The sequence below is a fragment of the Homo sapiens genome, chromosome 10 (genome assembly GCF_000001405.40).
Source record: "Homo sapiens chromosome 10, GRCh38.p14 Primary Assembly".
Classification (NCBI taxonomy): domain Eukaryota; kingdom Metazoa; phylum Chordata; class Mammalia; order Primates; family Hominidae; genus Homo; species Homo sapiens.
In genome coordinates this window covers 95,898,567-95,921,436 of record NC_000010.11, presented here as the reverse complement: position 1 = coordinate 95,921,436, position 22,870 = coordinate 95,898,567, and the positions used below count along the sequence as shown (strand labels likewise).

At 39.6% G+C, this 22,870-nt stretch overlaps 1 protein-coding gene and 1 long non-coding RNA gene across 18 annotated transcripts in view, besides 2 other annotated features; one reads left to right on the top strand and one right to left on the bottom strand.

Annotated features, from left to right (window-relative positions):
• CC2D2B (coiled-coil and C2 domain containing 2B) overlaps nucleotides 1–13,766 on the bottom strand; it is a 126,075-nt gene extending 112,309 nt beyond the window's left edge. For 14 of the 17 annotated variants that reach the window (XR_002956979.2, XR_002956978.2, XR_002956977.2 and 11 more), the window contains exons 1-2: nucleotides 13,380–13,462; nucleotides 10,078–10,136 (exon numbers count right to left, since the gene is read on the bottom strand). Coding sequence is in view for 13 of the 17 variants with exons in the window: in NM_001349008.3 (NP_001335937.1) it covers nucleotides 10,078–10,113 (36 nt within the window). In the remaining 4 variants the exon portion in view is untranslated. Of the gene's footprint in view, nucleotides 1–7,999; nucleotides 8,056–10,077; nucleotides 10,137–13,379; nucleotides 13,463–13,675 lie in introns of those variants that run through there. The other 3 variants (XM_024447996.2, NM_001130446.3, XM_024447995.2) reach the window with 2 other exon arrangements.
• Nucleotides 1–22,870, top strand: part of ENTPD1-AS1 (ENTPD1 antisense RNA 1) — a 337,030-nt gene that overhangs the window by 168,799 nt on the left and 145,361 nt on the right. The window lies entirely within an intron of this gene.
• Nucleotides 13,146–13,205: an enhancer, noted in NCBI's record as "active region_3814". NCBI's record gives its function as "activates an Ori minimal core promoter by ATAC-STARR-seq in GM12878 lymphoblastoid cells {active_cell/tissue: GM12878}" and the evidence as "EXISTENCE:reporter gene assay evidence [ECO:0000049][PMID:35858748]".
• Nucleotides 13,246–13,435: an enhancer, noted in NCBI's record as "active region_3813". NCBI's record gives its function as "activates an Ori minimal core promoter by ATAC-STARR-seq in GM12878 lymphoblastoid cells {active_cell/tissue: GM12878}" and the evidence as "EXISTENCE:reporter gene assay evidence [ECO:0000049][PMID:35858748]".

The following is a 22,870-nucleotide window of genomic DNA, read 5'->3' as shown; positions in this document are numbered from 1 at the left end:
CTGAAGAGAGTAGGAAAGACGATCTTGAATTGCCTATACCACCTCTCTCTCATCCCCAGGCAGCATGGCAGGAAGAGAGAATCTGTGCACTTGGAGGAGGGAGAGTTAAGTGATTGGGGGACTTTGCATTGGAACTCACTGCTCCCCTAACATAGCGGAAAGCAACACAGGGCAGAATTTGGCCAGCGCCCACAGAGGGAGCACTTAGACAAGCCCTAGCCAGACGGGAACTGTCCATCCCAGCAGTCAGAACCTGACTTCCAGCTAGCCCCACCACCATTGGCTAAAGCACTCTGGGGTCCTAATAAATTTGAAAGGCAGTCTAGCCCACAAGGACCACAATTCCTGGACAAGTCCTGGTACTGTGCAGGGCTCACAGCCAGTGGACTCAGGGTGACATGATCCAGTGAGACACCAGCTGGGGCAGCCAAGGGAGTGCTTGCATCACCCCTCCCCCAACTTCAGGCAGTACAGCTCACAGCTCCAGGAAAAGAGGGAAGAGCAAAGAGTACTTTGTCTTGCAACTTGGATACCAGCTCAGCCACAGTAAAAGCACCAAGCAGAGTCCTAAAGCCCCCACTCCTGGCACTATCTCCCAGATAATATTTTTAGACGGACACCGGGCCAGAAGAGAACCCACTGCCCTGAAGGAAAGGTTGCAATCCTGGCAGAATTCACCATCTGCTAACTAAAGAACCCTTGGGCCTTGAATAAACATCAGTGGTAGCCAGTCAGTAGTCACCACGACCTTGGGCGAGACCCAGTATTGTGCTGGCTTCAGGTGTGACCCAGTATATTTCCACCTGTGGCGGCCACAGTGAGAGACACCTTCTGCTTGAGGAAAGGAGGAGGAAGAGTAAAATGACTTTGTTTTGCAACTTGGCGATATGATTAGGCTTTGTGTTCCCACCCAAATCTCATCTTGAATTGTAATCCCCAGGTGTTGAGGGCGAGACCGAGTGGGAGGTGACTGGATCATGGGGGTGGTTTCCCCCATGCTGTTCTCATGATAGTGAGTGAGTTTTCACAAGATCTGATGGTTTTACAAGCGTCTGGTATTTGCCTGGCTTGCATTTCTCTCTCCTGCCACCATGTGAAGAAGGTCCTTGCTTCCCCTTCGCCTTCCACCATGATTCTAAGTTTCCTGAGGCCTTCCCAACCATGTGGAACTGTGAGTCAATTAAACCTCTTTCCTTTATAAATTACTTTTTAAAGGGTACTATCTTTATAGCAGTGCGAGAATGGACTACACACTTGGGTATCCAGCTCAGCCACAGTCAAATAAAGTGTATCAAGCAGACTCCTGAAGTCTCTGATTCCAGACCTTAGGTCTTGGTGGGCATTTCTAGACCCATCCTGGGCCAGAAAGGAACCTGCGGCTCTGGCGGGAGAGAACCAGGCTTGGTAGGACTCACCAACTGCTGACTAAAAACCCCTTGGGCCTTGAATAAACATCAGTGGTAGTCAGGGTATAGTCACCACTGGCCTGGTGCAGTGGTGCCCATAAGCAGATAGCCCTTCTGCTTGAGGAAAGAAAAGGGAAAAGCAGAGAGGACTTAGTTTTACAACCTGGGTGCCAGTTCAGCCCCAGTAAAATGAAGCACCAAACAAATTCCTAAAACCCCTGACCCCAGGCCCTCGCACTTCAATGGCATTTCTAAACCCACCCTGGGCCAGAAGGGAACCTGCTTCACTGGAAGGAACCTGCTTCACTGAAGGGGAAGCCCTAGTCCTGGCAGGATTCATCATTTGCTCACTAAATAGCCCTTGGGGCTTGAATAAACATCAAGACTCTCAGGACTCTCACCAACAGGCCTTGGGTGAGACCTAGCACTATGCTGGCTTCAGGTATGACCCAGCACAGTCCCAGTGGTGGTGGCCATGGGAGTGTCTGCATCACTCCTTCCCCAACTCCAGGCAGCTCAGCATGGAGAGAGAAAGACACTTTGTTTGGAGAAAAGGGAATAGAACAAGAAACCCTGCCTGGTAATCCAGGGAATTCTCCCTGATCTCCTTGGTCTTCTCCCAAGACCACCAAGGCAGTACCTCTACAAGTCTGCAAGAGTCAGCACATTACTGGACTTGGGGTGCCCCTTAATGCATTTATGGTTGCATGACCAAATAACTGGATTACAACACTCAAAATTATCTTTGAATACTTACTAATCCTTCTCTAGAAAGTTGGGTACAAACAAACCCAGACTGCAAATATTAGAATAAATATCTAACTATTCAATGCCCTGACATTGATGAACACCCACAAGCTTCAAGACCATCCAGGAAAACATGACTTCTCCAAATAAACTAAATAAGGCACCAGTGACCAATTCTGGAGTAACAGAAATATGTGATCTTTCAAGCGGTGAATTCAAAGTAACTGTTTTGAAGAAGCTCAGTGAAATCCAAGGTAAGACAGAGAAAGAATTCAGAATGTTATGAGACAAATTTAACAAAGAGATAGAAATAATTAAAAAGAATCAAGCAGAAATTCCGGAGCTGAAAAAATCAATTGAAAAAATGAAGAATGCATCAGAGTCTCCCAACATTAGAATTGATCAAGCAGAAGAAAGAATCAGTAAGCTTGAAGACAGGCTATTTGAAAATACACAGTCAGAGGAGACAAAAGAAAAAGAATAGAAAATAATGAAGCATGCCTATGGTAGCTAGAAAAAAAGCCTCAAAAGGGCAAATCTAAGAGTTATTGGCCTTAAAGAAGAGGTAGAGAGAGAGACTGGAGTAGAAAGTTTATTCAAAAGATAATAACACTTTCCAACCTAGAGAAAGATGTTAACATTAAAATACAAGAAGGCTTTAGAAAATTGAGCATATTTAACCCAATGAGACTACCTCAAGATATTTAATAATCAAACTCCCAAAGGTCAAAGATAAAGAAATAATCCTAAAAGCAGCAAGGGAAAAGAAAAGTAATAACATAAATTGGAACTCCAATATATCTGGCAGCACATTTCTCAGTGAAAACCTTACAGGCTAAAAGAAAGTGACAGAATCTATTTAACGTGCTGAAGGAAAAAATTTTTATCCTAGAAAATTGTATCCAGTGAAAATATCGTCAAAGATGAAGGAGAAATTGAGACTTTCCAAGACAAACAAAAGCTGAGGGATTTTGTCAACACCAAATCTGTTCTGCAAGAAATGTTAAAGGGACTTCTTTAATCTGAAAGAAAAGGACATTAATGAGCAGTAAGAAATCATCTGAAGGTACAAAACTCTCTTGTAATTAGGTATACAGACAAATACAGAATATTATAACACCATAATTGTGGTGTGTAAACTACTCATATCTTGAATGGGAATACTGAAAGTTGAACCTATCAAAAATAATAACTACAACAACTTTTAGGCTGGGCACGGTGGCTCATACCTGTAATCCCAGCACTTTGGGAGGCTGAGGTAGGCGGAACACTTGAGGTCAAGAGTTCAAGATCCGCCTGACCAATATGGTGAAACCCCGTCTCTACTTAAAAATACAAAAATTAGCCAGGTGTGGTGGTGTGCGTCTGTAACCCAGCTACTTGGGAGGCTGAGGCAGGAAAATCATCTGAATCCAGAGGTGGAGGCTGCAGTGAGCCGAGACCATGCTGCTGCACTCCAGCCTGGGTGACAGGCTGTCTCAAAATAATACTGTCTCAAAAATAATAACTGCAATAACTTTTTAAGACACAGACAGTATAAGAAGATATAAATAGAAACAAAAAGTTAAAAAGCAGGGGGGATAAAGTTAAAGGGTAGAGTTTTAATTAGTTTTCTCCTTGTTTGTTTGTTTTTGCAATAAGAGTTCAGTTGTCATCAATTTGAAATAATGGGTTGTAAGATGTTGTTTGTAGGCCTCATTGTAACATCAAACAAAAAACCTACCACAGATACACAAAAAATATAAAGCAAGGAGTTAAAACATACCACCAGAGAAAATTGCTTTCACCAAAAACAGAAGACAGACGGACGGATGGACGGACGGATGGAAGGAAGGAAGGAAGGAAGGAAGACAGAACAACCAGAAAACAAACAACAAAATGGCAATAGTAAAGTCCTTGCTTATCAACAACAACATTGAATATAAATGGACTAAACTCTCTAATCAAAAGACATAGAGTGGCTGAACGGATAAAAAAATCAAGACTCAATGACCCATAAGAAACACATTTCACCTATAAAAACACATAAACACTGAAAAGGATGAAAAAAGATAGTCCATGCAAATGGAAACCAAAAAAGAGCAGGAATAGCTATAATTATATCAGATAAAATAAATTTCAAGACAAAAACAGACAAAGAAGGTCATGATATAAAAGGGATCAATTCATCAAGAGGATGTCATAATTGTACATACATATGCTCCCAACACTGAAGCACCCAGATACATAAAACAAATATTATTAGAGCTAAACGGAGAGATAGACAACCAATGCAGCAATAGTTGGAGACTTCAACAGCCCACTTTCAACACTGAACAGATCATCCAGACAGAAAATCAACCAAAAAATATCAGACCTTATCTACACTAAAGACCAAATGGACCTAACAGATATTTATAGAATGTTTCATCTGACAGCTGAAGAATATACATTCTTCTCTTCACCACATGGATCATGCTCAAGAATAGACCATATGTTAGGCCACAAAATACATCTTTAAAAATTCAAAAACTTTGAAATCATATCAAGTATCTTCTCTGATTACAATGGAATAAAATCAAAAGTCAATAACAAGAGGAACTTTGGAAACTATACAAACACATGGAAATTACACAATATGCCTCTGAATGACCAGTGGCTCAATGAAGAAATTAAGAAAATTCCTTGAAACAAATGAAAATTGAAACACAACATACCAAAACCTATGGGATACAGCAAAAGCAGTACTAAGAGGAAAGTTTACAGCAATAAGTGTCTATGTCAAAAAATTTTTTAAAAGAAAAAAAATTAAAATAACCTAATGATGCGTCTTAAAGAACTAGAAAAGCAAGAGCAAATCAAACCCAAAATTCATAGAAGAAATAGTAAAAACAAGAGCAGGAAATAAATCACATTAAAATAAAAAAATACAAAACACCAATGAAACAAAAAGTTGTTTTTTTGAAAAGTTAAACAAAATTGACAAATCATTAGCCAGACTCACTAAGACAAAGAGAGAGAAAACCCAAATAAATAAAATCAGAAATGAAAAAGGAGACATTATAGCTGATACTGCAGAAATTCAAAGGATCCATTAGAGGCTACTATGAGAAATTATATGCCAATAAATTTAAAAACCTAGAAGAAATGAATAAATTCCTAGACACATACAACCTACCAAGATTGAACCATGAAGAAATCCAAAACTTGAATAGACCAATAATAAGTAACAAGATCAAAGCCATAATAAAAAGTCTCCAAGCAAAGAAAAGCCTGGGACCTGATGGCTTCACTGCTAAATTTTGGCAAACATTTAAAGAACTAATATCAATCCTACTCAAACTGTTCCAAAAAATAGAGGACAAGGGAATACTTCCAAAGTCATTCTACAAGGCCAATATTACCCTGATACTAAAACCAGACAAAGTGACATCAAAAAAAGAAAACTACAGGCCAATGTATCTGATGAACATTGATGCAAAAATCCTCAACAAAATACTAGCAAGCCGAATTCAACATCATATTAAAGAGATCATTCATCGTGACCAAATGAGATTCATCACAGGGATACAAGGGTGGTTCAACATACACAAATCAATCAATGTGATACATCATACCAACAGAATGAGAGACAAAAACCATATGATTATTTCAATTGATGCTGAAAAAGCATTTGATAAAATTCAACATCGCTTCATGAAAAAACCTTCAAAAACTGGGTATATAAGAAACATACCCCAACGCACTAAAAGCCATATGTGACAGACCCACAGCTAATGTTATACCAAACAGGGAAAAACTGAAAGCCTGTCCTCTAAGATCTGGAACAAGACAAGGATGCCTACTTTCACCACTGTTGTTCAACATGTACTGAAAGTCCTAGCTAGAGCAATCAGACGAAAGAAATAAAGGGCATCCAAATTGGAAAGAAAGAACTCAAGTTATCCTTGTTTGGAGATGATATAATTATGTATTTAGAAAAACATAAAGACTTCACAAAAAAAAATTAGAAATGATGAACAAATTCAGCAAAGTTGCAGGACATAAAATTGATATACAAAAGTCAGTAGCATTTCTATATGCCAACAGCAAACAATCTGAAAAAGAAATCTAGAAAATAATCCCACTTACAATAGTTACAAATCAAATTAAATACCCAGGAATTAACTTAAACAAATAAGTAAAAGATGTCCACAATGAGAACTATAAAATGCAAGAAACTGAAGAGGATACACAAAAAATGGAAAGATATTTCATGTTCATAGATTGGAAGAGTCAATATTGTTAAAATGTCCATTCTATTCAAAGCAATCTACGTATTCAATCCAATCCCTATCAAAATACCAAGAACGTTCTTCACAAAAATAGAAAAAGTAATCCTAAAATTTATAGGGAACCTAAAAAGACTCATAATAGCCAGAGCTATCCTGAGCAGGAAAACACAAGACTCGAGAAATCACATTACCTGACTCTATTAGTCCATTCTCACGCTGTTATGAAGAAATACCTGAGACTGGGTAATTTATAAAGGAAAGAAGTTTAATTGACTCACAGTTCCGCATTGCTGGGGAGGCCTCAGGAAACTTGCAATCATGGCAGAAGGCAAAGGAGAAGCAGGCACCTTCTTTACAGGGCAGCAGGACAGAGTGAGTGCAAGCAGGGGAAATGCCAAACACCTATAAAACCATCAGATCTTGTGAGACTCACTCACTCACTATAACAAGAACAGCATGGGGGAAACCACTCCCGTGATCCAATTCCCTCCATCTGGTCCCCCCATTGACACTTGGGGATTATGGGGATTATAATTCCAGATGAGATTTTGGATGGGGACACGGCCAAACCATATCACTGACTTCAAATTGTACTACAAAGCTATACTAAAAGCCAAACCATACCACTGACTTCAAATTGTGCTACAGAGCTGTACTAAACAAAATAGCATGGCACTGGCATTAAAATACACACACACACGCGCACACACATACACATCAATGGAACAAAATAAAGAAACCAAAAATAAATCTATACATCTACAATGAAATCATTTTCAACAAGGTGCCAAAAATGCACATTGGGAAAAGACAATCTCTTTAATAAAGGGGGCTGGGAAAGCTGGATATCCATATGCAGAAGAATGAAACTGGACCCCTATCTCTCACCATATACAAAAATCAAATCAAAATGAATTAAAGACTTAAATCTAAGATCTGAAAGTATAAAACTACTAAAAGAAAAATTGGGGAAACTCTCCAGGACATTGGTCTGGGCAAAGATTTCTTAAGTAATACCCCAAAAGCACAGGCAATCAAAGCAAAAAATGGACAAATGGGATCACATCAAGTTAAAAAGCTTCTGCAAAGTAAAGGAAACAATCAACAAAGAAACAGCCCTTAGAATGGGAGAAAATATATGCAAACTATGTATCTGATTAGGGATTAATAACCAAAATATACAAGGAGCTCAAACAACTCAGTAGGAAAATGTCTAATAATCTGATTTAAAAATGGGCAAAAGATCTACATAGATATTTCTCAAAAGAAGACATACAAATGGCAAACAGGTATATGAAAAGATGCTCAACATCATTGACCATTAGAGAAATGCAAATCAAAACTACAATGAGACATCATCTCACTCACTTAAAATGGCTTTTAACCAAAAGACAGGCAATAATGAATGCTGGCAAAAGCATTGAGAAAGGGCAACCCTAATACACTGTTGGTGGGAATGTAAATTAGTACAGCCACTACGGAGAACAGTATGGGGTTCCTCAAAAAACTGAAGATATAGCTACCATATGATCCAGCAATTCCACTGCTGGGTATATACTCAAAGGAAAGAAAATCAGTATATTGAAGACATACCTGCACTCCCATGTTTGTTGCAGCACTGTTCACAAGAGCCAAGATTTGGAAGCAACCTAAGTGTCCATCAACAGATAAATGGATAAAGAAAATGTGGTATATATATATATGCAATGGAGTACTATTCTGCCATAAAAAAAAGAATGAGATCCTATCACTTGCAACATCTTGGATGGAACTGGAGGTCATTATGTTAAGTGAAATAAGTCAGGCACAGAAAGAAAAACTTTGCATATTCTCACTCATTTGTGAGAACTGAAAATTAAAACAATTGAACTCACGGAAATAGAGAGTATAATGATGGTTTCCAGAGACTGGGAAAGGTATTGGGTGGGGGGCAGGGAATGGGGAAGGTTAATAAGTACAATGCAATGAATACGATCTAGTATTTTACAGCACAAAAGGGTGGCTATGGTCAACAATAATTTATAGTACATTTTAGAATAACTGAAAGAATACAATTGGAATGTTTATAACACAAAGAAATGATAAAAATGCTTGAGGTAATGAATAACCCATTTACCCTGATGTGATTATTACACATGGTATGCCTGTATAAAAATATCTCATGTACCCCATACCTATATATACCTACTGTGTATCCATAAAAATTAAAAATTTCCAAAAAGAAATTGTTCTCTGGAATATAAAAAAGGCCTTTTAATGATAAAATCCAAGAGTTAGTTCTTAGTGTTCATGTATTACCACTTCATGTACCTTTTAAGAAGGTCAAGTGAGATCAGACATATATGAAAATACTTTGAAAATTCAATGCTATACTAGTTTTAGCTATTACTTGATTTATTACCCTGCAGCGTGTGGCAACGTTCAGCAACCTTATTTTTTGAAAACTTTATATATCCTTGCCCTCTACCCTTCTACCTCTGTGGCCACTTATTTCTGTATCCTTCAATGGTCATACCTCTTCATATCCTAAATGTTGGGTACATTCCAAAGCTTTGGAGGGTGCACATATTCCCATGGATTCCCAAATCTGTGTCTCCAGCCTTCACTCTCCTAAGCATCAAAATCATATTTCTAGCTGACTTCTGGTAATTCTAGTTGAATGTTGTATCATCAACAAAAATTCAGTATGTTAAAATAAGCATTTCTTTTCCAGTTTTTATAAACCTCAATATTCTATAGGTAAACTATTCTAGCAATGTTAAACCCTTTTTAGAATGATATGGTTATAAGTTTCTTTTTAATTTTAATGCTAAAAAATATAATAGCAAAGACTCCTGAAATAACAACTGTACATGCTAACCAAACTAATGTGCAGTTGGAAATCTCAAGCTTTCTAATCACAGTAAAAACATGAATTTGTGTCAAAAACCAAAGCAGGCTATTGACATGATCACAGTTAAAATATCATAAAAAGAGCCCAGTCTATAAACTTTCCGAAAAAACTTCAAAATCTACTATTCGTTCTTGTACCACTATTAAAAACTACTGAATAAGGTCAACACAGACTACAATGTTCCCTTACATCTTATTCAACCTTCAGTACCTACCTCAAGACAATAAAAAATACCTAATTCTACTCTTGACCAGGGGATAGCAACCCTTAAGGTATGATGGAACAATTCTGGCAAGTAACTGATAGAGGGTCTCCCTTATTAGTTCCCAAATATCTTGCCCACCATTCCCAGAATCCTGTATACTTTTTCATAAGTTCTCATTTCCATCTAGAAGGTAGGGATAAAATGTGAATCTTAATTGCAGTTACTCTAAGAGACATGTAAATATTGCTCCTATATAGATTTAACTCACTGACAAACATCTTTTTTAACAAAGCAGGGAATGGCTTGTTGGCTAGGTGAGAGAACATATAAACAAATAGATATTGAAGTAAGAGATTAAATAAATACATACATAAATAATTCATCTTATTAAATAACTTACAGACCAAATAAGAATACAATTCATCCCTAAACTCTCCTATTGTTTCTTTTTTTACATATGAATTTATGATTTGTATATAGAAACAAATGTATCACATTTATCAGGATTATCCCCCATTTACAACAGGGCTATTTGGAATAATCAAAATATTATAAACTCCATTAATACCTTACCTTTTTAAAAATATCTTCTCTTTGAGATTTTTTCATGATGGTCCTTTTATTTCAACTTTCTAAATAAATAAGAAATATTATTGAGAATGACATATCATAAGAAAACTGACTTGTGATACTTGAGGTTAAAAGTATGCTTTTTAAATTTTTTAATTTAACAAGAAACAAAACAGATATACTATCACTTTTACTATTTCATATTTGTATTTGGTCACCTTCAGTATTTAATAGAAATCCCGGTTAATGCAATAAGATGTGCAAAAGAAGGAAGTAAGAGGTGTAACTCTTGGAAGAGGAAAACAAAATTATCATTGTTTGTAGATGATAGGTTTTTATACATGAAAAACCCAAAAGACTAAATAAAGTTTAGACATAATTAGAAAATTGGAATTGGCAGAATACAAGAGAATATATGTAAAAGTCAGTATCTTCCCTACATGCTAATGTACTAGAAAAAAATCACTTTCACAAAAAGGGTACTGAAAAAAACTTCAAGATACTAAGGAATTATTTTAATTAAAATATGTATGAATTCCCTTCCCCCCAAAAGTATAAAACTTTGCAGTAAGAAAAAAAAGGATCTGATTAAATATACATTTGATCTTAGCCAAAAGGCCAAGAGGCAATGATTAAATATAGATATTCTATGGAGGCAGGGAAATTGATTAAAAGGCTACTAATAGATACTAGAGATCTATTTGGATGTTTGTCTCCTCCAAATCTCATGTTGAAATGTGATTCCCAATAATGGACATGTGGCCAGGTGGGAAGTGATTGGATTGTGGGGGTGGATACCTCATGGTTGGCTTAGCACCATCCCCTTCATGATGAGTTCTTGCTCAGTTAGTTCACATGAGATCTAGTTGTTTAAAAGAGTCTGTCTAGGACCTCCCCCCTCCTTCCTTTATTTCCTCTCTTGCCATGTGACATGCTGGCTCCCCTTCCCTTCCACCATGATTGTAAGCTCCCTGATGCCCTCACCAGAAGCAGATGTTAGAGCCATGCTTATATAGCCTGCAGAACTGTGAGCCAATTAAAACTCTTTTCTTTATAAATTACCCAGTATTCTTCTATTGCAACGCAAGAATGGCCTAATACAAGAGTATCATTCAACATGACGGTTAAATGCAAGTTCATGCAATTCCCCAGACATTTGTAGAAACTAGAATGCCACACAAGTTTTTGTTTATCTGTTTGTTTTTTAGAGACAGGGTCTCACTCTTTCACCCAGGCTGAAGTGCAGTGGCATGATGACAGCTCATTACAGCCTTGAACTCCTGGGCTCAAGTGATCCACCTGCTTCCACCTCTTGAGTAGCTAGGACTACAGGCATGTGTCTCTAAGGCTCGGCTAATTATTATTATTGTTATTATTAGGTACAGACAGGGTCTCGCTGTGTTGCTCAGGCTGGTCTCAAACTCTTGGCCTCAAGCAATCCTCCTGCCTCAGCCTCTCAAAGCATTGGAATTATAGGCATGAGCCACTGCGCTTTGCCTAAACAAATTTCTAAATCAATTCTGCGGGCACAAGACTATGTGGATCCCTGAATCAGCACAGACTTCTTTTTGGCACAATTTTCAGTCACCTTGGTTACTTCTGTCACAGGCCATTTGGTTTCAGGAGTGCTAGCAAAATAAAACCACAGAAAAACCTCTAGCATGTGGAAATGGTTACACAATGCATATCTTAGTATATAGTAACATATCTTTAATTGTGATCCAATCAGAAAATTGGTTCCCTTTAATCTTCCCCTGGCTCTTGTTAGAAATATTTCTAAATGTATTAATGCACTTTCCTTCCTTAGCAGATCTGAATTCAGACCAAAATCCAATTTTATCTTTATCTCAGTTCATCTATTGTCACATAGTATGATGACACCTTTCTGAACTCTCTTATAGCAATGTTTCCTAAATGATGCCTTCCAGACTTAATTTGAATTAGGATGCTATGTCCAGAATTAAGGTCTCATTCACAGTTATGATGTAATTAAGGCAACAATAGCATTTTGTAAAAATAATCTATTAAATATATAGCACCAGCTACCCTTTATTGTTATTAGGATATGGAAGAAGTGGAATTTAACTTAACAATTCTTTACTTAGTTAAGAGGAATATAGCAGTATTTCACAGTGTTCTACAAAAAACATTATGACTTCCATGTATTGCATTAACTGGCAAGTTTAAAAATTAACTTAACTGTTATCTTGTTTTCCAAAATCAAAACTTAGGAACAAACGGCGTGACAAAAGATTTTCTGATCTGTGAATTTATTTAAGTCTTCGAAAGGCAACAAAACTAAATCACCCACTGCTCTGAGGACCAGTTCCCAAGTCATCATGTCCTGCTCCTGTAGATCAAGAAAGATTTGGGCCCACTTCTCTATCTTGGGACTTCTGGTACATGAAAACTAATGTGGAAACAGGTTACAAAAACTATCATATTATATTTTGAAAATTTACATCTAACACACACCATGCAACGTAGTTTTGCTACTCAAAGGTGAATTACAAGATTTATAAAAATGTATTAATTCTTAGAGCAACCACTGGCCAGGAGGCCCAGAAGCTCTAAACAAGTACTGTAATGTTTTTTATTCAAACCTGAAGATGTATCTCTGTGTCTATACTTATAGCCTCAATTAGAGAGAAAGTCAACCAGGAGGCCCTTTCTGAAAGTGAAGCCAAAAAACTCTCACATCACTTCCCCATCTAAGCCGCAGTGACCACTCTCCAACATTGACCACTCTCCAACATAACCCCTCAACTATAGCTGGATGGAGTTCTTGTTTATTCTCCCTGGCATCTCCAACCTTTAATTTTTACAACTTCCCCGCAAATGGATAGCATTCCGTGTTTCTAAGGCTGATTCAAACTCCACGTCTTTCAGGAAGTTTTTTCTAACTCTGTCTCTTGATCTCCAACAGCATTTGTAGTTCATAATGCGAATTTTTGTTCATTACATTCTACCTTCCAAGTTCATCTTCCTGCTTATCCTAATGTGAAGATCAGGACTAAGGCAAGGTGTTCAGCACACACAGTAGGCACTGAATTAATAATATGCCGACCCGTATTTCTTGCAAATCAAACACTGCTCTCGAGTGATTTTCAATTCTACTCATTCCCAAATTGGCTAACAAACCGGTCGGCCAGGCCCCCGAACTACAAGTCCCAGCGGCCTGCGCGGCCCCGGCTCCGGTTATCCCAGCCCAGCTAGTTCTGCCCATGCAGCAGAGCTCCACAAAAGTGCGGGAATGTCTGACAGGGAAGAATCAGAGAAACCTTCACCAGCAGCCCGACATTCACCTGGACGGACAGTGCACTTTTCTTACGTCTGGGCAGGGAAGGCAGGGCGCACCATCTACCGCAGGCTAGGATGATCACCAACCGCCCCACCGCACCCTGCGCCAGCCCTACGGCGCCCGCGGGCTGCAAGTAGCGGCGACCCAGGAGCATGCGCGCTGCCGCCCCTGGCCTGCCAGGACCCAGAGGGAGCGGAGCACGCGCCTTTGGGAATCTTCGGTGCGCCAAGTCTGTTCGCCGCCGGGGTCTATCACCCCCGCCCCTCGCCTCTGCCCGTGAGCGTGTGAGTTGTAGCGTACCCTGGGGTCTGTTCTGGAGGAGGCCTGAGAGCGGGGTTGCCTGGGGCGTGGGTCTCTCATCCCTCTCGTCCTGGTGAAGAAGAAGAGTATACCCAGCGGGTGAGTACCGGCCGCGAGCTCCCGGCTGAGCGGGCGTCCCCGGGGAGGACGCTGCGGGGCGCCGTTGTGGCAAGAGCGGTCGCCCGCGCAGGGCGTGGAGGCGCGAGGCCGGGGGACGCCAGCCGGCAAGTTGCACGGGTTGCAGCGCCCCGGGACCTACTTTCTCTTTGCCGTCGTCCCTGCCTTGCTAGGAAAAGAGGGGAGCTTTGACTTCAGGTGATTTCCTTTGTGGCTTACAAAAGAGCCCCCTAAATATGCAAGCGGTTCCTTTTATTTCCAGAGCTTGCTGTTAGCGTACTAATGTACTATGTTTAAAGTCTTAAATAGGGCATGCCAGACACGCTCACCCATGTGTCGTCATTCATCGCTTAATAAACAGAGTACGGCTCTCATTGTTTTTCTTTTTCCCATTGCCTCGCTCCGAGTTAAAATAACGAGATAAACTAAACGTGATGCGGTTGGGAACTTGTTCAGGGAAACCGGCTGGGGCGAACTTCGGAAACTTGCTAGTGTAGAGAGCCGCACGGTGGTGGTTTGTATGCTTTCACTCATTCAGGCTTTCCACAGTGTTTAACTGCGTTCTGTGTCAGGCATTATGCCCCAACAGTCGTCTTGTGTAAGACTTCCATGCATTTTTAAGCTTTGCTTTTATTTTCTAAATGTACATGTTAATAGAGAATAAACATTATTGACCTCTTTATTCTGATATTAATTGCCTAAGTTTCGTAGGATTGTCTTTATTTTTTAATAGTATGGTGACCAAAAGTAATACTAGTGTTTAACCTTAGTAAGCAAAATAGAGTCCCAGTGTCTCTGACAGCTTGGCACAGTTTCATTTGAGACCGTAAATCCCACCCTGTCTATAGTCTCTGTCATACTTGGTAACAACCCAGATAATTTATCCCTTCTCGCAGCCTCATTCCCACACCTTCTCCATCTGCTGATCGTCTCACTATCTGCCTTCTTCTGGAAACTGTAAACTCTTTTTCTAGACTCCTCATATGTAAACCCCTCTATATCTTTTTTTAAATTTATATATATATATATTTTATCATACTTTAAGTTCCAGGGTACATGCGCACAACGTGCAGGTTTGTTACATATGTATACATGTGCCATGTTGGTGTGCTGCACCCATTAACTCGTCATTTACATTAGGTATATCTCCTAATGCTATCCCTCCCCCTCCCCCCATTCCACAACAGGCCCTGGTGTGTGATGTTCCCCTTCCTGTGTCCAGGTGTTCTCATTGTTCAATTCTCATATGAAATACTATGCAGCCATAAAAAATGATGAGTTCATGTCATTTGTAGGGACATGGATGAAGCTGGAAACCATCATTCTCAGCAAAGTATCGCAAGGACAAAAAACCAAACACCACATGTTCTCACCCCTCTATGTCTTTATATCTTCTTGTTCACAAAACATTCCTCCTTGTGATATTGGGTACCTGGCTGTCTCCTGAAGACACTGCTTTCCCAGCAATTCACCACAGCGAAAGCCATGCCTGCTGGAGACACTGCTTTCCCAGCAATTCACCACAGCGAAAGCCGTGCCTGCCCGCGCCCCCCGCCCCCCAGAGGTGGTATCTGTATTCGCCATCTCCTCATGGCCATTGCTAGGCCATTCCATCCCACCCCAGGACCCAGAGCTGGTATCTGTATTCGCCATCTCCTCATGGCCATTGCTACGCCATTCCATTCCACCCTTGTAAAACTTACCAGAAACCCTTCTCTAATGAGCCCTTTTCCCTCTCCTCACTGTTATTTACCAGCTGCCTGGTCACTCATGTTCATTAAGGAATTTAGTACCCAACTCAAGTCTTTTTTTTTTTTTTTTTTTTGAGACGGAGTCTCTGTCAGCCCAGTTTGGAGTGCAGTGGTGTGATCTCAACTTACTGCAACCTCTGCCTCCCGGGTTCAGGCGATTCTCCTGCCTCAGCCTCCCGAGTAGCTGGGACTACAGGCGTGCACCACCACGCCCAGCTAATTGTATTTTTAGGAGAGACCGGATTTCACCATGTTGGCCAGGCTGGTCTTGAATTCCTGACCGCAGGTGATCCACCCGCCTCGGCATCCCAAAGTGCTGGGATTACAGGCATGAGCCACTGTGCCTGGCCAGTCTTTCTTTCATACTCAATTGCTACAAGGTTCTGGGGGGACTAAAGCAGTCATGTGTATCACAGGTCCAGCACCCCATATTCCCTTAACTTACTGCCATGACTGACTGACTGCAGGACCATAATATCTAAGACTGTTCCATATTAACAATCACGAACTCTAGTATTCTCTTCTCATCTTCCTGTTTCTTTCATCTCTTCCTCTGCCTTATTCTTCTATACTTAATCCCTGATCTCATGAAGACGCTGTCCCTTGATGACTATTTTGTCATCATCAGCCTCTACCTACATTGACTTTCTTCCTTGTCTAGCCCACACTCCTTGTTTTATTATTTACCCACATCAGTATCCACAATTTCTTTGCCTTTTGTGTTTCTTCCACTTTTGTCCAGCATACCTATTCTAGTTTAGTCTAGCCATTTGCTTTCTCTCCTCATATAGAAAGGTAATTGTATTAGTGAAAATCATGTAACCAGATTATTGCCATGATGATATGGCATGGTCCATAATGTAGCTCAGCCATTCTTTTCCTTTCTCACCCACAGCTACTATTCTAACTTTTATCGTTCCTTAAACCTACTCTACTTTTGACCTTGTACTTTCAGCAGCTGGCTTGGCTTTTTCAGAGGAAACAGAGACTCTCAGACATGAATACTGTGACACTGACCACCAGGCCAACTTAACATCAGCAGATATCCTGTCTCAGATGAAGAGGTATGTTTGATTTATTTCTTTTTTTTTTTTCTATCTACAGATGATCCAATATATGTCCTAGATCCCATTCATTCTGTCTCCTCTGGGGCCTTATTTCATCATTTAACCCTCCCTTTTTATCTTCAGTATACCCTTTCCCCACCTCCCTCCCCTGGCTTTATCTGCCCTATCCAACAAAACAAAAACAAAAAGAAAAACCATCAACTGGGATTATTCTCAGATTTCTTCTCTCTCTCCTTTTTTACAGCCACATTTAGAGAAAAAGGTAATCTTTTTTTCCCTTCCCTTACTTGTTAACTCTTCTACCCACAGAGTTCTGGCTTCCGCCACCTAATCATGCCACCAAGGACTTTGTGATTGCCAAACCCAAAATATCTTCTTAGGCTTCTTTTCTGCACTTGGCTCTGTAGACCATTTCCCAGTCTTGAACTTTCCTTGTTTCATTGTTTTCGCAAACATCAGTTTCTACCATTCTTCTCCCACCTCTTAGGTTATTTTAAATTTGCAGTACCAGTTCCTCTGGGATCTTGCTCTAGTGTGGGGTATCCAATTTTTTGGCATCCCTGGGCCATATTGGAAGAAGAAGAAATGTCTTGGGCCATACATAAAATACACTAACGATAGCTGATGAGCTCAAAAAATAAAAAATTGCAAAGAACTCTCAAAATGTTTTAAGAAAGTTTACAAATTTGTCTTGGGCCACATTCAAAGCAGTCCTGGGCCACATGGAGCCTGTGGGCTGCAGGTTGGACAAGCTTGCTCTAATACCTTTTCTATGCTTTTGTAGTCATTTTCTTCTCCTTGGCATCTAGACATGTTGAAGTTTGTCATAAAAATAAACAAACCTTTCCCTCTGTCCCCCTTCCCGCAGTTGTTGCTCTTTAAGGTTTTGTCCTTGATCTTTTTCTCTTTTCAGTTTCTGTTGTTCCCTATGAGTAATCTCTTAGCTTCAACCACCAGTTTAGGGAAATGACCTCCAAATCTCTCTTTAGCCTGGACTTCTTACCTGAGCTCCTGACGGTGACACCCTTACCCCAGTACCCAAAGTACCCGAAATGTATAGAGTTCAAAACCAACCTTCCCTCCCCAGACTTATTCCCTGTGTTTCCTGTTTCGTGAATGAGGCCAGTATCTGCTCAGTCACCCCAGTGAAAACTAAGAACAATCCTGAAATTCCATTTTTTAAAGTCATTCCACACACATTCAGCAGGTTAATTCTGCTGCCTGAATAGCTGTTCTTTGGAGCCTGTCTTTGTCCTCATGGCTGTGCTTTAGCAGCCAGCATCTCTTGACATTCACTGACTAACTAACTTGTCTCCCAGTTATCTCCTTCTTGTTTCTTTCATTATATTATCACCAGAACTGTGTTCCTAAAGTGCAGACCTGATCCCCTGCTTTCAGTTCCTCCATATAGTAAAATCTGAGCTCTGCCTGACATATATGAACTAGCTCCTTTCTTCCAAAACTTTGTTTTTCTGCGATTCTCCAGCATGCACACTGTGCTAAAACCATGCTAAACCATTAACTGTATCCTGGTCACAGCATGTAGTTTTCTTTGCACGAGCCATTCCTTGCTGGAATCCTGTCAACTTTTCCCCATAAAGTTTCTGCTCAAGCATTACTTTCTTTGTGATGCCACCACTAATTCCTTCTGTATGGCACTGTATAGTAATTACTCATCTGTCTCTCTCTCCACCAGACTAAAAACTGAGGGCTGACACTGAATTTCTTCATTTGTTTGTTGAATAAATGAGTAGCAATTAGCACAGTATCATCTGTGAACAGTGAACCATGATTCCTGTGTACTTTGGGTGATGATCAAATATTAACTTTGGGAAGGACCTCAAAAACAATGTAGGTCAGCTCTTCTTTTATCAGACGCAGAAACTGAGGACCAGCAAAGTTAAGGACCTTAAGCACCTGTTCCTCAGGCACATGATGCACATTGATGCCATCATGCCTTTACTTCTGTTCTCTGCCTAGAATGGACTGTTCCACCTGGCAAAACACTACTCTACTTATCCATGCACCTTGCTTTTCAGTGTTGTTCTTGGACTACCAGCATCAAAGTTATTAGGAGTGTTTATTTAAAATGCAGATTCCTGAACTCCATCACAGAGTTTTTGAACCAATCTCTGGAAGGGAATCCAGGAAGTCCATTTTAAGTGGAGTTTCACTGTATTAACCTAAAAAAAGAAAGGTCTCTACTTCCCCCTCTGCTTTCCCCTGCAAAACAAACACACAAGAAGAGAGAGAAAGATGGGCAGGGATGGGGGCTGGTAGAAAAGAATAAATACTGATTCCAAAATGAGAAAGGAACTGTCTTTGCATCTAGGTTTTAGTATATGCTGCCATAAACAGCTTTCAATAAATCTTTTGTGATTTTCATCTTTGTTACTTACAAAATGAACTAACTCAAAATTATATAGCAATAGCACAAAAAGTAATTGAAGCTTAAATTTATTATTGCTCATTCTTTAGCAAAACCTCACTCCAAAAAAATACTATTCAGTTCAGCATTCATTTTCAAAAGTTGGGGGGTGATTTTCAAAGGGATTCTTTTACATTTAGTGGTTGAGGGTAAGACCACTCTGAGACCCCAAAAGAGAACAAGGCCCAGCTTATTGCTGACATTTTACCATGGAATTGTAGGTGTCCTAAAGGGTAGTTGATGCCCCGTCACCTAACTTAAGACAAAGGTGTGAACAGGGTTGCTGTCTGCTGCATAAGTGAATGTTAGTTTGACTCATTCTTCCAGCTCAAATCGGTAGCAAGCAGCTGAGTTTTCCTTAAACCCAGCTTCTTTCCTGGCAAGAAGAATGTGGCTTAAAGAAATTTATACTGTCACCAATTATTTGGAGTTGAACAAAGTATTTACCTCCCCAATTTTAGCAACTGTATATTCTTGGTAGTACCTGCTTTTGATACATTTTTAAAAGTGTGTGGCTTATAGAGCTTTTATGTTAAGTTGCTCTGTAATTGGATCTTGATTCTCTGCATAAATCTGACTTTTCATATTATGAATAGTTGCAAAATAATCTGAGGAATTTTTATGTTCCTCAGATTAAATTTAGACCCTGATATTTACCAGTGTTGCCCAGTAAAACACTATTTTGCTTGCTTCTCAATTCACTTTTATCTTAATGAAAAGCAAGTGAGATTCAAATATAGCCATACTATTGACCTATAAATCAATCTATAGATCAGTTTTCTTGATCTATAGATTTATAGAGCAGTAGTATACCTATTTTGTGGGAAGGTCTGTCAAATTTAATATTTTGTTATGCACAGCTTACATTGACCTTTGTTTTAGTAGACAGTAACTAGTTATAAGTCGCATAAACTTAATATATACTTCAGTTAACTGATGTTTCTATAAAACCTGCATTTTTCTTCTTTTTTTTTTTAAATTATACTTTTTAAGTTCTGGGATACATGTGCACAATGTGCAGGTTTGTTACATAGGTATACATGTGCCATGTTAGTTTGCTACACCCATCAACTCGTCACTTACATTAGGTATTTCTCCTAATGCTATCCCTCCTCCAGCCCCCACCCCCCCACAGGCCCCGGTGTGTGATGTTCCCCTTCCTGTGTCCATGTGTTCTCATTGTTCAACTCTCACTTACGAGTGAGAACATGCCATGTTTGGTTTTCTCGTCTTGTGTTACTTTGCTGAGAATGATGAAAACCTGCATTTTAATAACACTACAGATAGCAGATATCGTGGCAGATTAAATACATATTTTTAAAAGTGCAAAATAAGACTATCCTGGATTCCTTTCAATGTGAATCTAACCATTTACAGCTTTTAAATGAACTGTGTGCATACTCCTGCGTAATTATCTTCAGTACACTGATAACATACTTTTACTTTGCAAATTAGGAGTGGCCTCAAGGGGCAGTTAGGATTGGTGATATATAAAAGTTCTCTAGTATCAAGTCTTCCTCTAGATGGAACTCTTCTATCTAGGTAAGAGTTCTAGTTTCTTATCTTGCTCAGTAAGATGCCAGCCTTATTGTCTAATTGGCTTTAAGAAAAAATAGTGACTGCTTACCAAGTGCTAGATACTGTGGGTTTGCTCTTCATATCTGTGGGCCTCTAATTTGTATGGATCCATTCTTAAGCAATATAAAACACCAGCACATCAGATTCTTGTGAGAGAGTAGAATCTAGAATTGTCCTTCCTAACTTTTTCTCAGAAGTTTGGCTGAAAGAAGTATTATTGCAGAAGGTCATTTAAAGACTGTGCAGTCCATTCATCACTCCCTATGGATCAAGCTGGACCACTCAGACTTATGTACTTGGACTATATTACATTAATTACTTAAAGCATTAGTTTCAGTGAGTCATGCCAGGGTGATTTTGTCCACCAGGAGACATTTGACAATGTCTGGAGACATGTTTGATTGTCATAACTTGGAGGGTCTGGGGAGGGGGTGCTCTTGGCATTCAGTATGCAGAGGCCAGGGGTGCTGCTAAATGTCCCACGATGCACAGGACAGCCCCACAACAATGTTTCACCCCAAATATTAGTGCCCAGTTGAGAAACCCTGATTTAGATGGTCAAGGAGCCTAAGGAAAGGTACAAGACACAGAAAGAGGAACGAACTTAAGGTATTTGTTGGACTGTAAGGAGAGCTGCCGGACTGGAGAGTGTTTCCAGGTGGGATCTGTGGTGAAAGGTAAGACTCAATATATGGATAAGTCTGTGTGTATACGGCCTTAAAGAATCACAGTAGATTTGAAGTTTATCCTGTAATGACAGTAGCATTTACAGAAAGTTTCTGTTGGAAATAGAAAAAAAATGGAAAACATATGAGTATAGAAGAAAAACAATTGAAATTCCACTTTTAAAAGTGATATATTTTCCTTCTCCTTACCCCTTCAAAAATAAATCAGAATAACACTGTATGTAAAAGTTTTGTGATGTGATCTTTATGTAACATTTTGAGGATTTTTCCTTATTAAATAGTCTTTGTGGCCAGGCATGGTGGCTGGTGCCTGAAATCCAAGGACTTTGGGAGGCCAAGGTGGGAGGATCACTTGAGGCCAGAAGTTTAAGACCAGCCTGGGCAACAACATAGCAAGACCCTATCTCCAAAAAAAAAAAAAAAAAAAAAATTAATACCTGGGTAGGGTATTGCCTACCTGTAGTCCTAGCTACTTGGGAGGCTGAGGAAGGAGGATCCCTTGAGCCCAAGAGTTCAAGAATACAGTGAGCTATGATAGCACCATTACACCACATCCTAGGTGACAGAGTGAGACCTCATTTAAAAAAATAATAATCAATTAGCCAGGCGTGGTGGTGGGCACCTGTAGTCCCAGCTACTCGGGAGGCTGAGGCAGGAGAATGGCGTGAACCCGGGAGGCGGAGCTTGCAGTGAGCCAAGGTTGCGCCACTGCACTCCAGCCTGGGTGACAGAGTGAGACTCTGTCTCATAATAATAATAATAATAATAATAATAATAATTTTGAGAAATGTGATTTTTAACAGCAACATGATATTCCAATGTGTTTCTATTATACATAATGTTGCAGTGAATGTTACGCCCAAACTCTTTTTCCCCAATATTTCTGATACTTGCCTTAGGATAATTTCCAAGACATGAAATCACTGAGGCAAAGGATGTGAATATGTTTAGGCAATTTGTACAGCTCTAGTTAGTTAAAAGCTTGTCAATATTCTTATGCTATGACATTTTCACCAAGTCTTTTTATTGTCTTATGTTTTTTCTCTTCCTTGTTCTATGTTTAATGTTAACATTTTATCTGTATTTTATAACCTTATTTTTCATTTTTCATCATAGACAGTTAATCAGAGACTTACTCCAACCCAGAAGTTTATACCAAAAGACTTGATTAGCGCAATAAAAGCACTAAATGAGGAGCTCGGATTAATTATTGATTTAACATACACCACAAGATATTATGAAGTTAAGGTAAAGTTGCAAATGTATATTGTTATCATGGGTAGGTCTTAAAATAGAAAGTTTGTTTTTTGTTTTGTTGTTATTTTGTTTTTTTAAGACAGAGTCCTGCTCTGTCACTCGGGTTGGAGTGCAGTGGCGTGATCTCGGCCCACTGCAACCTCCGCCTCCTGGGTTCAAGTGATTCTCCTGCCTCAGCCTTCTGAGTAGCTGGGATTACAGGCGCCCGCCACCACGCCTGGCTAATTTTTGTATTTTTAGTAGAGGTGGGGTTTCGCCATGTTGGCCAGGCTAGTCTCAAACTCCTGACCTCAGATGATCTGCCCACCTCG